Consider the following 13,504-nt stretch of genomic DNA (forward strand, 5'->3'; position numbering starts at 1 on the left):
AAATAGCTAGAAAGCAGAACAGTTGTAAAACTCATAATAGCACGTATTCTTTGAAAAAAGTGCAAAATAGCAAACTGTTAGTTAAACAGATCAATAAAAAGGGAGAAAATATAAAATACAAAATGAGAAATAAACATGAAAATAACTAACAATATAGAGGACACAAAATACGACACTGCTTCTCTCACCCTTATGCAAGTGAATTAGGAAATCCACAGGAAATAAATACTTTATAGCAAAAATACCTAGAAAAATATAAAAATAAAACTCCAGTAAACCAATTACCAAAAGAAAAACTGAAAAAAAAAATGAAAAGTTACCCTCAAAAAGCTCCAAGTCACAAATAGATTCCCAGGGAAATTCGAACAATCTTTTAAGGAACAAATTCAGTTATGTGTTGCTTAACGATGGAAATACATTCTGAGAAATCCATCCTTAGGGGAATTCTTTTATTATTATTATTATTTTATTTTTACATAAGTTATTGGGGTATAGGTGGTATTTGGTTACATGAGTAAGTTCTTTAGTGGTGATTTGTGAGACCCTGGTTCTCCCATCCCCCGAGCAGTATATACTGCACCATTATATGTTGTCTTTTATCCCTCGACCCCCTTGCACTCTTCCCCCCAAGTCCCCAAAGTTCATTGTATCATTCTTAGGCCTTTGCATCCTCATAGCTTAGCTCCCACATATCACTGAGAACATACGATGTTTGATTTTCCATCACTGAGTTACTTCACTTAGAATAATAGTCTCCAGTCTCATCCAGGTCACTGCAAATGCTGTTAATTCACTCCTTTTTATGGCTGAGTAGTATTTCGTTGTCTATAGTGTATATATACCACAGTTTCTTTATCCAGTCATTGATTGATGGGCATTTGGGTTGGTTCCATGATTTTGCAATTGTGAATTGTGCTGCTATAAACGTGTGTGCAAGCATCTTTTTTGAATAATGACTTCTTTTCCTCTGGGTAGATACCCAGTAGTGGGATTGCTGGATCAAATGGGAGTTCTACTTTTAGTTCTTTAAGGAATCTCCACGCTGTTTTCCATAGCAACTGTACTAGTTAGGGGAATTCTTTTTTGCGCAAGCCTCATATATTTTACCTTACACAAGCCTAGATGGTATAGCCTACTACACACCTAAGCTATAGGGTATAGTATAGCCTATTGCTCCTAGGCTACAAACCTGTACAGCACAGTATTGTACTGAATACTGTAGGCAACTGTCACACAGTGGTAAGTATTTGTGAATCTAAGCATATCTAAACATTGAAAAGATTCAGTAAAAATGGGACCACCATTATATATGCAGTTCGTTGTTGGCTGAAATGTCATTATGCAGTTCATGATGACAACTCTAATAACAGAGAGTTGTAGACTATAGTAATGCAAGCATATCTTCTAAATAATTTTCTGTAGCAAGTGTAACATTGTTATAAAACCCAGCAGAAGTTGCACAAAAAGGAAACTTCAGCTCAAACTCAGTTATAAATATCAATGCAGATATCTCAATTTAGTAGGAAACAGAACTCAGTAGAACATTAAAGAGTGCTGTGTCCTCACCAAGTGGGATTTAATGCAAGGGGAAAAGAATGTAATTGTCTCCTTAGACTTTAAGTGCCATCTTTATTAAATAAACAAAACAGAACCCTTAAGGACTTTCAGTAAGGGATGGTGGATTGAATAATGCCTCTAAATATGCTCCTTCCCAATATTTCCTTAAAATTATTGTAAAGATGTACTGTAAAGATATAGTCTACAAGTATGGGAAGTAAGAAGAGGAGACACAGCAATAAAATTTTAGAGGCAGAAAAATATCCTGATGAGGAAAAGCTGACATAGCAACCCAAGAAAGCTAAATCCTAGGCTGGCCAGGGAGAAAGCCAAGTACTGATTCCATTTCTATGTTAGAGTTCTCAGAAGGCTTAGGATTTGGAGGTGCTTGATACCTCTGAAAGGAAGGTAAAGAAATGGTAGCTGAAAAAAGGAAGAAAAGGTAAAAGCTATTTAAGAAGTAGCTATCCCCAAATTCATATTTCTTCTTGACTGATTAACTACCATTTTAAGATAATAATTCACATGCTGGAGAGAGGAAAACAGGATTTCTGGCCTGGGGCCTCCTGGCATAGTGGAGAGCAGTGGAGCTCTTCTGAAAACAGGGGACTAAGTGATGCTATAAGGGGTTAATGCCGACCCGCACTGTCTCTTCTATTCACATCTCAGAACACTTGTAGCCAGGCCTTTGCCTTCTAGCCAGGAGATTGAAAATGTCTTTTTTGAGGAATCTGACCAATACAAAGAGGAAAGCTCTCAAGTTATTGAGACTGGGTTACCCTGTACAGTGAAACTCAAATAGCCTGATCCATGTGCTCAGAGTTTCCAAAGTGCTCTTAATTCCTGACTCTAAAATATTAGCAGATAATTAAAGATATCCAGATACCCGAGGAAGACCTCCAATATGAAATATGAGCAGAAAACCAAACCAAAAAAAAAATGACCAAACAGGAAATAAAACAAACAAACAAACAAACAAACAAACAAAACAGAGGAAACACTATTTAGACAGAAAAAACTCAAGAACATCAATATTTTTACAGATAGATAAGATAGTGCCTCTATAAAATCGGAACAGAATACTAAAAAAATAAAAAGAATACTTGGAAAATAAAAGGGCCTCTTGGAAATTAAACACAAGATTGCAGAAACAAAGAATGCAATATAAAAGTTGGAGGTGGGGTGACTAACTCATCGCAGTTTGTCTTAGCACTAAAATTCCCACTCCTGGGAAACCTCTCTATGCTAGGTCACCTTAGTTGGAGAATGATACGGTTTGGCCCTGTGTCCCCACCCAAATCTCTTGTTGAATTGTAATCTCCAGTGTTGGGGGAGGGACTTGGTGTGAGGTGATTAGATCATGGGGGCAGATTTCCCTCTTGCTGTTGTCATGACAGTGAGACAGTTCTCATGAGATCAGGTTGTTTAATATGTGTAGCAATTCCCCTTCACTCTCCTGCTCCGCCATGGTAAGATGTGCTTGCCTCCCTTCGGCCATAATTATAAGCTTCCTGAGACCTCCCACCCATGCTTCTTGTACAGCCTGTGGAACTGTGAGTCAATTAAACCTCTTTCCTTTATAAATTACTGAGTCTCAGATAGTTCTTTATAGCAGTATGAGAACAGACTTATACAGAGGACAAATTAACTAAACCTCTCAAGCTGATGAGCAAAAGGAAATGAGATGAGAATTTGAGGACTATCTAAAAAAGTCCAACATCCAGAAAGAGAAGAGAGAAGAAAAAGAGAAGGAAATGATAAAATAATTCATGAAAATTTTCCAAAATGTTACATATAAAAGAGCATCAAATTCCTACAAAAGTAGATGAAGATATACCCACGCCAAAGCGCATACTGGGGTATTTTCAGATTATTGAGGACAAAAAGAAATCCTGTGTGCTTCCAGAGAGAGAGGACAACAAAAAGGGTCATTTACAAATCATCGGAAATCAAAATGGCTGGGCTTCTAAACCACACTGGACAATAAAATAATCCAGTATAATAATACTTTCAAAATTCTGAAAGAAATTATTTTCCAACCTGGAATTTCATATTCAAACAATCAAACGTAAGAGTAGAAGAAAGTCAGTTTTCAACATGCAGGTTATTGGAAATTGGCTTCCATATACTTCATTTTCCCAGGAAGCTCCTTTAGGGTCCAGTCAATATGAGAGAAAACCAAAAAAATGTAAGACACAGGCTATTAGAAATAGGAGATCCAGGCCGGGCGCAGTGGCTCACGCCTGCAATCCCAGCACTTTGGGAGGCCGAGGCGAGCGGATCATGAGGTCAGGAGATCGAGATCATTCTGGCTAACACGGTGAAACTCTGTCTCTACTAAAAATACAAAAAATTAGCCGGGCGTGGTGGTGGGCGCCTGTAGTCCCAGGTACTCGGGAGGCTGAGGCAGGAGAATGGCATGAACCCCGGAGGCGGAGCTTGCAGTGAGCCGAGATTGCGCCACTGCTCTCCAGCCTGGGCGACAGAGGGAGACTGTCTCAAAAAAAAAAAAAAAAAAAAAAAAAAAAAAAAAAGAGAAAGAAAAAAGAAACAGGAGATCGAACATAGGAGAGAGAGGCAAATTAAATATCCAGGATTATGCTAAAGAGAATCACAGGATCATAATGTATACAAACATAGAAGGCAATTAGCACAGATTGAAACATAAATATTGAAGCTGTAACCACTAAGAATCCTTTCATCTTTGTATTGTATTAGCAACTGACAGTACTCAAGTGAGCTTCGCCAAGGTTCTTAACTCTCTTTTGCTCGTCCAAGTGCTGATAAGATTCTGCTCTCCCTCCCTGCCCAGCTGCCTGGGTAGAGTGAGGACAACACCTGATCCTACAGAAACATTCAGGTTTGACCGACTCCTAAGAGCTGAAGATTGGCAAAAGTGAACTTAGAGGCACAAAACACAGAGTAGCACACTCTCTGCAAACATTTTCCTCTTGATTGGATAGAACTTGATTCCGCCAGATAAGCGCATTTGGTGAATTCGTTGCTTTCCATGGATCACCATGGGCTTTCCCCCTGACAACCTGAGAATTGATTTTTACACCCTCCAAGAAAAAACTGAAGCCTGAGTATAAGCCAGAGACTGTTCAAACCACTTTACCTAAGCACCTTCAACTATCAATAACAACACTGTCCTTTTCTCACATAGTTAGTCTTGTGTTTGCTACTCAGTTGTCATATTAATCACTTTCACACTGATTAATAATTTTTGTAATTACTTGCTAAAACAATGAAATGTTTGATTTAGAAATAAAACAAAATTATAAGTCAGAATCATCTTTAATGGACAAGTACTGCATATGTTCCATTAAAGCTACCCACTGACATGGCTTTCATTTCATTTTCATTCAATGTTAGAGGCATTAACCAATGAAATTAGACAAATGGAAGAAATGAAAAGTATCATAACTGGCAAAGAGGAGACAAATTTATCACTCTGTTAGGTGAATTGATTTTTTTGGATTGACCCAAAACTTCTAAGAGAATCAAGTGAACGACAATTACAATCAGTACGATAATTCAGTAACGTGTCTTGGTAGAAAATAAATAGCTTTCATGTACTGATACAGAAAAATTCCAAAATTGTCAAATAAAAAAATCAAACAAGACACAGAACATTGTAAAGAGGATATTATCTTTTTAAATTTTAAATTTAAATTTTTATTTTTTCTTCAACTTTTAAGTTCCAGGGTATATGTGCAGGATGTCTAGGTTTATTACATAGGTAAACGTGTGCCATAGTGGTTTGCTGCATGGGTCAGCACAACACCTAGGTGTTAGGTCCAGCATCCATTAGCTATTCTTCCTGATGCTCTCCCTCTTCCCACAACCCTGGACAAGCCCCAGTATGTGTTGTTCCCCCACCATGTGTTCATGTGTTCTTATTTTTCAGCTCCCACTTATAAGGGAGAACATGTGGTGTTTGGTTTTACTGTTCCTGCATTAGTTTGCTGAGGATAATGGCTTCCGGCTCCATCCATGTCTCTGCAAAGAACATGATCTTGTTCCTTTTTATGGCCACATAGTATTCCATGGTGTATATGTACCACATTTTCTTTATCTAATCTATCATTGATAGGCATTTGTATTGATTCCATGTCTTTACTAGATGCTATCTTTTTAAAATAATAAGTATGCATGTGCTGTGTGTGTAAAGTAAGATACATATTTGTATTTGCTTGATTTGTAGAAGACATATACCTGTATGTAGGCCCTTTTTGCAACTTTTCTTTGTAGCCTCAAGACTTCTTACTGTTTTGATTTCCTTGCTCCATTCACATAATTCATGGCCTCATGTAGTAGTTCCTACTTCCTCAAAGCCACTCATCGTTTTTCCATGTTGAAGACCCACTTTAGTTAAGGCCTCGTAACCTCCTTTCTTTGCAGTTGCACTCCTCTATTTGTTGCACCACCAGTTTCTCTCCAAAACAACACATTGCCTAGAATTGAAGACCTTATTCATTCTTTCCAGACCCACCCTTCCCTGATTCCTTATCCATGACAAACTCAACTCCGAAACTTATTGTGTCATGAACTAAACCTTGTACTTCTGCCCCTCCACTCACTTTAATATTTTCCACAATGCCCTCCCCTTGACTTCCCGATTTCTTCCAGACCAAATCACAAGCATCTTTAAATTAATTTCCATGACTACCTACCTCTTCCATGAAGATGTTCCTAACCCCAGCCCACTTCTTTTGGATGGATTATCTTCTTCCTTACAGATATCTCCCCTTAATACTTTCAAAAATAAACCTGGTACCCTTCAGGAGACATTCTGCAGGCACTTGTTTTGTTCTGCAGAAGAGGCTGGAGGCAGGGAATGAAAGGAATTTTTGAAAGAGACACACAATATACACTGAAAGCAGTTGTCTCATGAGGGACACCATCTCATGAGGAGAGGTTGTCTTCTTACTGGTAAGAGATTCTGACCTATGTCTATCGTAGACCTAATTCCAAGCGTGCTTGACTTTTTTATGCTAACATCCTCTTATGCCTTTCTTCTTCCCCACCAGGATGTAACAGTCCCTCCCAAGCCTGTCTCGCTCCATCCTTTATATCAGACTAAACTCTATCCTCCTGCTAAGTCACTGCTGCATCCACAGACCCTCTCACATGCTGACTGTCTTGCCCCAGGACCCTTCAGTCATCTGTCCTTCTCCTTGAGTGATGAACAGGAGAATTCTCACACCCTCCTCAGTCACAACGCATGCAACAAGGTGAGAACTCCTCCCCAAAATGAGGACTATTCTATTCTGTGAACCTTCATTACGCTTGACTTTTAAAACTTAAATGTGGAGGAAACATGTGTTAGGAATATTTAAATATTAAATATCTAAATGTATAAAGAATATTAAATATTTGTGTGAAAGCACATTACCTTATAAGCAGATAATAATTGAACTTGGGAAATAATAAACATTTATATATTTTTCCAAAGTTATTCCCTGATTTGTATTTTTCACTGTTTCATGTTCTAACTCCATGGTGGAAATTCCAAGACATTTTTCAAAACCTCACAAAATGCCATTATTAATTTATATTCTAGTCTTAGTTCAGTGTTCCTAAAAAGCTTCTTTAAATTACAGTGCCTGGTTGAGGAGGCACTTATAATTAGAGTCAATGGGCAAAAAATGACTTAGAATTACTGTGGGTATCTGCAAAATAATATTCACATTTTACTTTAAAATGTACCTGTCTGCTTCACTGTGTATAGTAACGCGATGTGTAAAAAATAATGAAGTGTTTCGTACCTGAAGTGTGTGTGTGCGTGTGTGTGCGTGTGTCTGTCTGTCTGAGTGTGTATGATACAAAACAAGTAAAAAATATTTATAGTTGGCTTTGGAATTGAATCATAAATGTTTTCTAGGAACAAGCAATTAAACTACATGGGGCTTACATATAAGTGCCCTTTGCTCTTCTGATAAGGGCATCCTGGCTAGTACAGATGCTCAGACCCTGAAAATTTCCTAAAATAATTAACTGGTTAAACTTTAATTAAATCTTTTTGTGAAATTCAAAATCCTGTTTAAAAGCATTTATTCTACAAGGTATCTACCTCCAGTTAAATACATCTCTATACTTAGAAATCAATCAAGATCATCTTCCAGAATGTAGTTGGATAATACTTCTTGGAGCCTGAGGCATTTTTAAAGAAAAAAATGTCAATAAACCCTGTCTAAATGCAAACAGTCATCTAAAAGCAAAAACTATAACACTGTTATATAAGGAAAAATTAGATTTTTATATTTAATAGCTTCTATGACAACTGAATGATCAATTTTGATTAAACAAATTTTAAAATATCAGTTTTTTGCCAAAAAATGTTTTTGGGCAACATTCAATATGACATTTTTCTGACCTTTGTTTGTGTCCCATTCTTGGTCTAGAAAATAAGTATATGAGAGAAAATATAATATTTTAAAAATTATTTTATATTATTTGAAATTCTTTCTGATTTAATATTTGCCAACAGCCATGAAATACATTTAGTTATTTGAGTTAATAATTCTGATAATACTATTACCATTTTCTTATAAATTGTCATCTATATGATAAGGTTATGATTTAATTTACAGATATCCGTTACATGATATAGCTCATTGTTTTGATATTTTGAAAGTGTTTTCTGGAACTGTTCAGCAAGGATAGACTATATTTCATCCATATGTCAGTCTTTGTTTGGTTAGGCTGAGAAGAACAAAAGCTGTGTGAAATCAGACAACTATTTTCAGTCCACATAATCCTCATAATAGATTTTGTCTTTCTGAGTGTGAGATTTGTTGATACTGAATAAAGAACCATTCATAACCAAAATAATAATAGTAATAATAATAAGATAGTAATACAACATTTTTAATGGAATGTTCACTTGCTTAGTCTTGAATCTGTATTGCCTTATTAAAGTACATGAATTACCAATTTGATGTCTATGTTTACAAACATTGTTTGTTAGATATTGGGTTAATAGCATACTAATTTATCAGGACTTTTTCTTTTTACTTGAAATAACTTAATGCCTTTAATTGCAAGACATAATCTGTTATTTAATTAACTTTTCTTCAATACGCTAACATGATTCCCAAGTCTGACCTTACAGCTTTGCCTACTGGCCTATCTCCAAACTCAAATCTTCCCATCCTTCCCTCTGGAGAACCATGCTGAACTTGTCTTACCAGTCTTTAGAGTCCCTCTTCAGCTGGGCTACAATAGGTGTTCAACAGGTTGTATTCTTCTTCTGCTGAGTCTGCAGTGTGCACTCTTCTCTTCTAAGTTTTAATCAAACTCCTCATGTCCTAAATCTTCACCTTAATCCCTCCCTTACTTTTTTACTTTCAAGAGGGAACTTTATAACTGGGTGCATCATATCCTATAAGGATGCTCAGGTACTTTCTTTTCATCCTGGAATAAAACAGTACAACTGCCTTCTTCACTGCCTTGCAGCCTCATGAAGGAAGTCATTCCTTTTACTTTCTTTTCTTTTTTTTGTTTTAATTATACTTTAAGTTCTGGGATACATGTGCAGAACATGCCGGTTTGTTACATAGGTGTACATGTGCCACGGTTGTTTGCTGCACCCATCAACCCGTCATCTACATTAGGTATTTCTCCTAATGCTATCCCTCTCCTAGCCCCCCACCCCCCAACAGGCCCCAGTGTGTGATGTTCCCCTCTCTGTGTCCATGTGTTTTCATTGTTCAACTCCCACTTATGAGTGAGAACATGCAGAGTTTGTTTTTCTGTTCCTGTGTTAGTTTGCTGAGAATGATGGTTTCCAGCTTCATCCATGTCCCTGCAGAAGACATGAACTCATCCCTTTTTATGACTGTATAGTATTCCATGGTGTATATGTGCCACATTTTCTTTATCCAGTCTATCATTGATGGGCATTTGGGTTGGTTCCAAGTCTTTGCTATTGTGAATAGTGCTGCAATAAACATATGTGTGCATGTGTCTTTATAGTAGAATGATTTATAATTCTTTGGGTATATACCCAGTAATGGGATTGCTGGATCAAATGGTATTTCTGGATCAAATGGTATTTCTGGTTCTAGATTCTTGAGGAATAGCCTTACTGTCTTCCACAATTGTTGAACTAATTTACACTCCCACCAACAGTGTAAAAGATTTCTTCTCTCTCCAGATCTTCTCCAGCCTCTGTTGTTTCCTGACTTTTTAATGATCACCATTCTAACTGGCATGAGATCGTATCTCATTGTGATTTTGATTTGCATTTCTGTAATGCCCAGTGATGATGAGCTTTTCTTCATATGTTTGTTGGCTGCATAAATGTCTTCTTTTGAGAAGTTTCTGTTCATATCCTTTGCCCACTTTTTGATGGGGTTGTTTGTTTTTTTCTTGTAGATTTATTTAAGTTCCTTGTAGATTCTGGATATTAGCCCTTTGACAGAAGGATAGATTGCAAAAATTCTTTTATCCTTAAAAGTGAGATAGCCCAGCAGGTTAAGAGGATGATGCCTCTAGTTCCTTTGTCTGAGGTTATTTCTTGACCCAACCCTTTTTAGATGGTGATATTGGGCAAGTCATTTAGCCTCTGAATGCCTCCGTTTACTCATTTTTAAAATGAGAATAATAATAGTACCTACCTTATTAGAGTATTATGAAAATAAAATTTACGAATATGCGTAAAAGTGCCTGAAGATAATGAAAAACATATAAAAGTTAGATCTTATTATCACTAAGCTTTCTGGGATTGTCATTCTTACTGCTCTCCAAAATCGTCCATTCTTCTCCATTGGATTCCTCCCCTTTGTATGCAGAAGCCTAAAAAACAAAATAAAACAATACAAAAGGAGCACTTGATCCTTTTCCTTGATGATGCTGCAAATCTATCAGTTTCAAAATTTTCTTTCTCTCAAAGTGGTCAATAGCCACTATCTCCATCCCCTTTCTGCAAACTCACTCTTCAGCCCGTTCTTGAAAGCATTCTGACTTTCACCTCTACCACTCTACTGAAATTGCTCTGTCAAGGGTAAACTGGTTGTCAGCAAATTCAGCTGAATTTCCTGACACAGTTGATCATTTCCTCTTGCATTTCTCTCCTCACTCTGCTCTTGGGATAATATGCACATTCTAACTTTCCGACTGCTCCTTCTTTGCTTTCTTTGTGGACACTTCTTGCTCCTCTACCTCTTCTTTCTAATTGCCTCACTTCAGCTATTTACCCACTCACAGGCCTTAGTGATTATCTTAGTACTGATAAGTCTCAAATCTACACTTCCCATTCTGCTTCTCCACTGAGATTCAGTTTCGTATCTTTAGCTGCTTGCTTATCATTTCCCCTAGGATGTCATGTTGTCACCTCAAACTCATCATTCATTTTGTCTCAAACTAGTTCTGCACTGGCTTTTCTACTTCTGTGATGAAAATCACAATTCTCAGTCCCCAAACTCAAAACTTGATTCATCTGTTATGCTTTATGCTTTTTCTGCTTTGTCCTTATATTGAGTCATTCACCAAGTTGAATGCGTTCTTATATTTTCTCACACTAGTCTTTATTATTATTCTTTTACTTTACTTAAACTGATTTTCTTATTTTCCTCTAGGCACACCTTGGAAATTCCTTACTGTTCTACTTGTTCATGCATTTTCCCATATAAAATACTCTTCTATGTTCTCCTTGCTTACACAAACCATTCTTGTACTTTAAGTCCAAGTTAAATTATCCCTCCTCTTTTGTGACATTTCTCCATGCATCAGTACTCAAAATGATTTGTTTTCTCCTTTCAATTTCTATACTCTTTTCCTGTGCCAAGGCATCTCATGCATATTATAGGTCATCTTGTATTTATTTGTTGTGCTTGTCTTGGTGTTTATCTAGGGTGTGACATAATATGCTATTTCCCACTGTATAGGCAAGGTAGTAAAGATCTATTAATGATGAACAATTTCTACAACTACCTAACTTTTTCACTAGGAGCCCCAGATGCTTGAATTATTATGATTATTTCTATTTCAAGTAAAGACTAAATCTGAGTCAACTTATGGATTTACCAGTTTGTTTAGAATAATGTCACTCAGTTGAGGATATTTCTTTTATTGAAGGCTATATCCAGTTTCCACAGATCTGATGGAGTGTGTTGGGAACATAGGTAGGGTGGGGTTGTGGAGGCAGGGGGCATCTGACCTTCTCTTGTGGTGTTCTCATTCCTTTCTGTTATATAACCATGAGCCATATAATACATGGTTACATCCTTTTTTCTTCACTAGCATGGCATGTCCTTATCAACTGTAGGTCAGTTACTTTTGTGCCCCTACAGCTTACATGGGAGAACATTATTACCTGCTTGCTGGGAGCAAGGTGAACTTTGTGAAGCTATCTCAGAACCATTCTCTTGGATGCCCTACATATCTTTCTCTGTTCTGTTCATGTCCCCTTTGCCATAGGGAACTCCAAAACCATCCGTATTTGTGAGTTCATCTACTCACTAAAATTTATTTGTAACCCCAAATCAGCACTCATTGTGTTTGCTCTTCTAGTCATTTGTGGACATTCACAGAACAGGGAGAAATTCGAATCCTCTATGTTCCCAGCTCAGGTTGAACAAGGCAATGCCCTGCTTTCTTGCTGTCATGCTGTAAACAATTGTCCTTTTTAAAAGCCAGGTGCGGTGGCTCACGCCTGTAATCCCAGCACTTTGGGAGGCCAAGGCGGCTGGATCACCTGAGGTCAGGAGTTGGAGACCAGCCTGGCCAACATGGTGAAACCACGTCTCTACTAAAAATACAAAAGATTAGCCAGGTGTGGTGTGGCACACCTGTAATCCCAGCTACTCAAGAGGCTGAGGCAGGAGAATTGCTTGAACCCCGGAGGCGGAGGTTGCAGTGAGCCGAGATCACTCCATTATACTCCAGCCTGGGCAATAAGAGCGAAACTCAGTCTAAAAGAAAAAAAAAAATTGTCCTTTTTGCATTCTCTCTGGTATCATGTTTTTGTTTGCATCTCTGTGTGTTTTGTTGGTAATTTTGCTGTTTAAAATGGCCCCTAAGCATAGTGTTGAAGGGCTTTCTAATGTTCCTATGCTCAAGAAGGCTATGATGTGTCTTAAAAGAGAAAATAAGTATGTTAGGTAAGCTACTCTTATGCTTGAGTTATAGTGCTGTTGGCCATGAGTTTGGTGCTAATGAATTAATAATATATTAAATATGTGTCTTTAAACAGTAAACAACCATAAAACAGGTTATTTATTGATTGGTTGATGAAAATGTAACCAGAGACTTGCAATAACCTAATCCAGGTTTTCCCCAGGAGAAATGGTTTAGTATTCACGAATTCCATGCTCATGGAGGCTTTAAGGACATAACTGCTGTGAATAATCAATAATGAGGGTGATTGTACCTTTGTTTGGTTTTCTCTGAGAAGACCGTCACTTATGAGTAGTTATTTTGGGAGGTGGTTCCAGGAAATGCCTGTTAGGGGAGTGGGGACTGAGACAAGGAGGAGAGGCATCTGGTAAAGGGTGTGTGAGCAAGCAGATGACCACTGTGGGGAACTGGAGCTTCATATGGCTGGGGAACTCTGGGAGCTGCTGTAGGGACACACAGCTCAGAGCCCTGCTTTCTGAGGGGTGGAGGAGGGAAATTCTGGCAGTCATTAGTTGAGGAGAGGGGGTGGGGCAGCATCAATCCCCAGAAAGAGCCCTGAGGCAAAGAAAAGTAGAAACAGGTAGTTTGAAGTTCAGAGGATGGTTGCTGCTTAAACGTTAAGGACTGAGAAGGTATATGTGGCTCAATGACTTATATTGTATGTATCTGTACAAACATATATACATATATATTCATGAAATTTTATGTTTATGATCTAATTTTGAAGTCCAGGCTCCTGCAGATCAAAACTTTGGCTGTTAAAACTTAAGGTGGCTCATGCCTGTAATCCCAACACTTTGAGAAGCCAAGGTGGGAGGATTGC

At 37.7% G+C, this 13,504-nt stretch overlaps 1 protein-coding gene across 17 annotated transcripts in view; it reads left to right on the plus strand.

Moving 5' to 3' along the window:
• MLIP (muscular LMNA interacting protein) overlaps positions 1-13,504 on the plus strand; it is a 247,311-nt gene that overhangs the window by 205,154 nt on the left and 28,653 nt on the right. For 15 of the 17 annotated variants that reach the window (XM_047419509.1, NM_138569.3, XM_024446579.2 and 12 more), the window contains one exon: positions 6,591-6,794. The exons of the other annotated variants lie outside the window; for them this stretch is intronic. In XM_047419509.1, coding sequence (XP_047275465.1) covers positions 6,591-6,794 — 204 coding nt within the window. The remainder of the gene's footprint in view (positions 1-6,590; positions 6,795-13,504) is intronic. 17 annotated transcript variants of the gene reach the window in all.

Source organism: Homo sapiens, chromosome 6 (genome assembly GCF_000001405.40).
Source record: "Homo sapiens chromosome 6, GRCh38.p14 Primary Assembly".
In the NCBI taxonomy this organism is placed as follows: domain Eukaryota; kingdom Metazoa; phylum Chordata; class Mammalia; order Primates; family Hominidae; genus Homo; species Homo sapiens.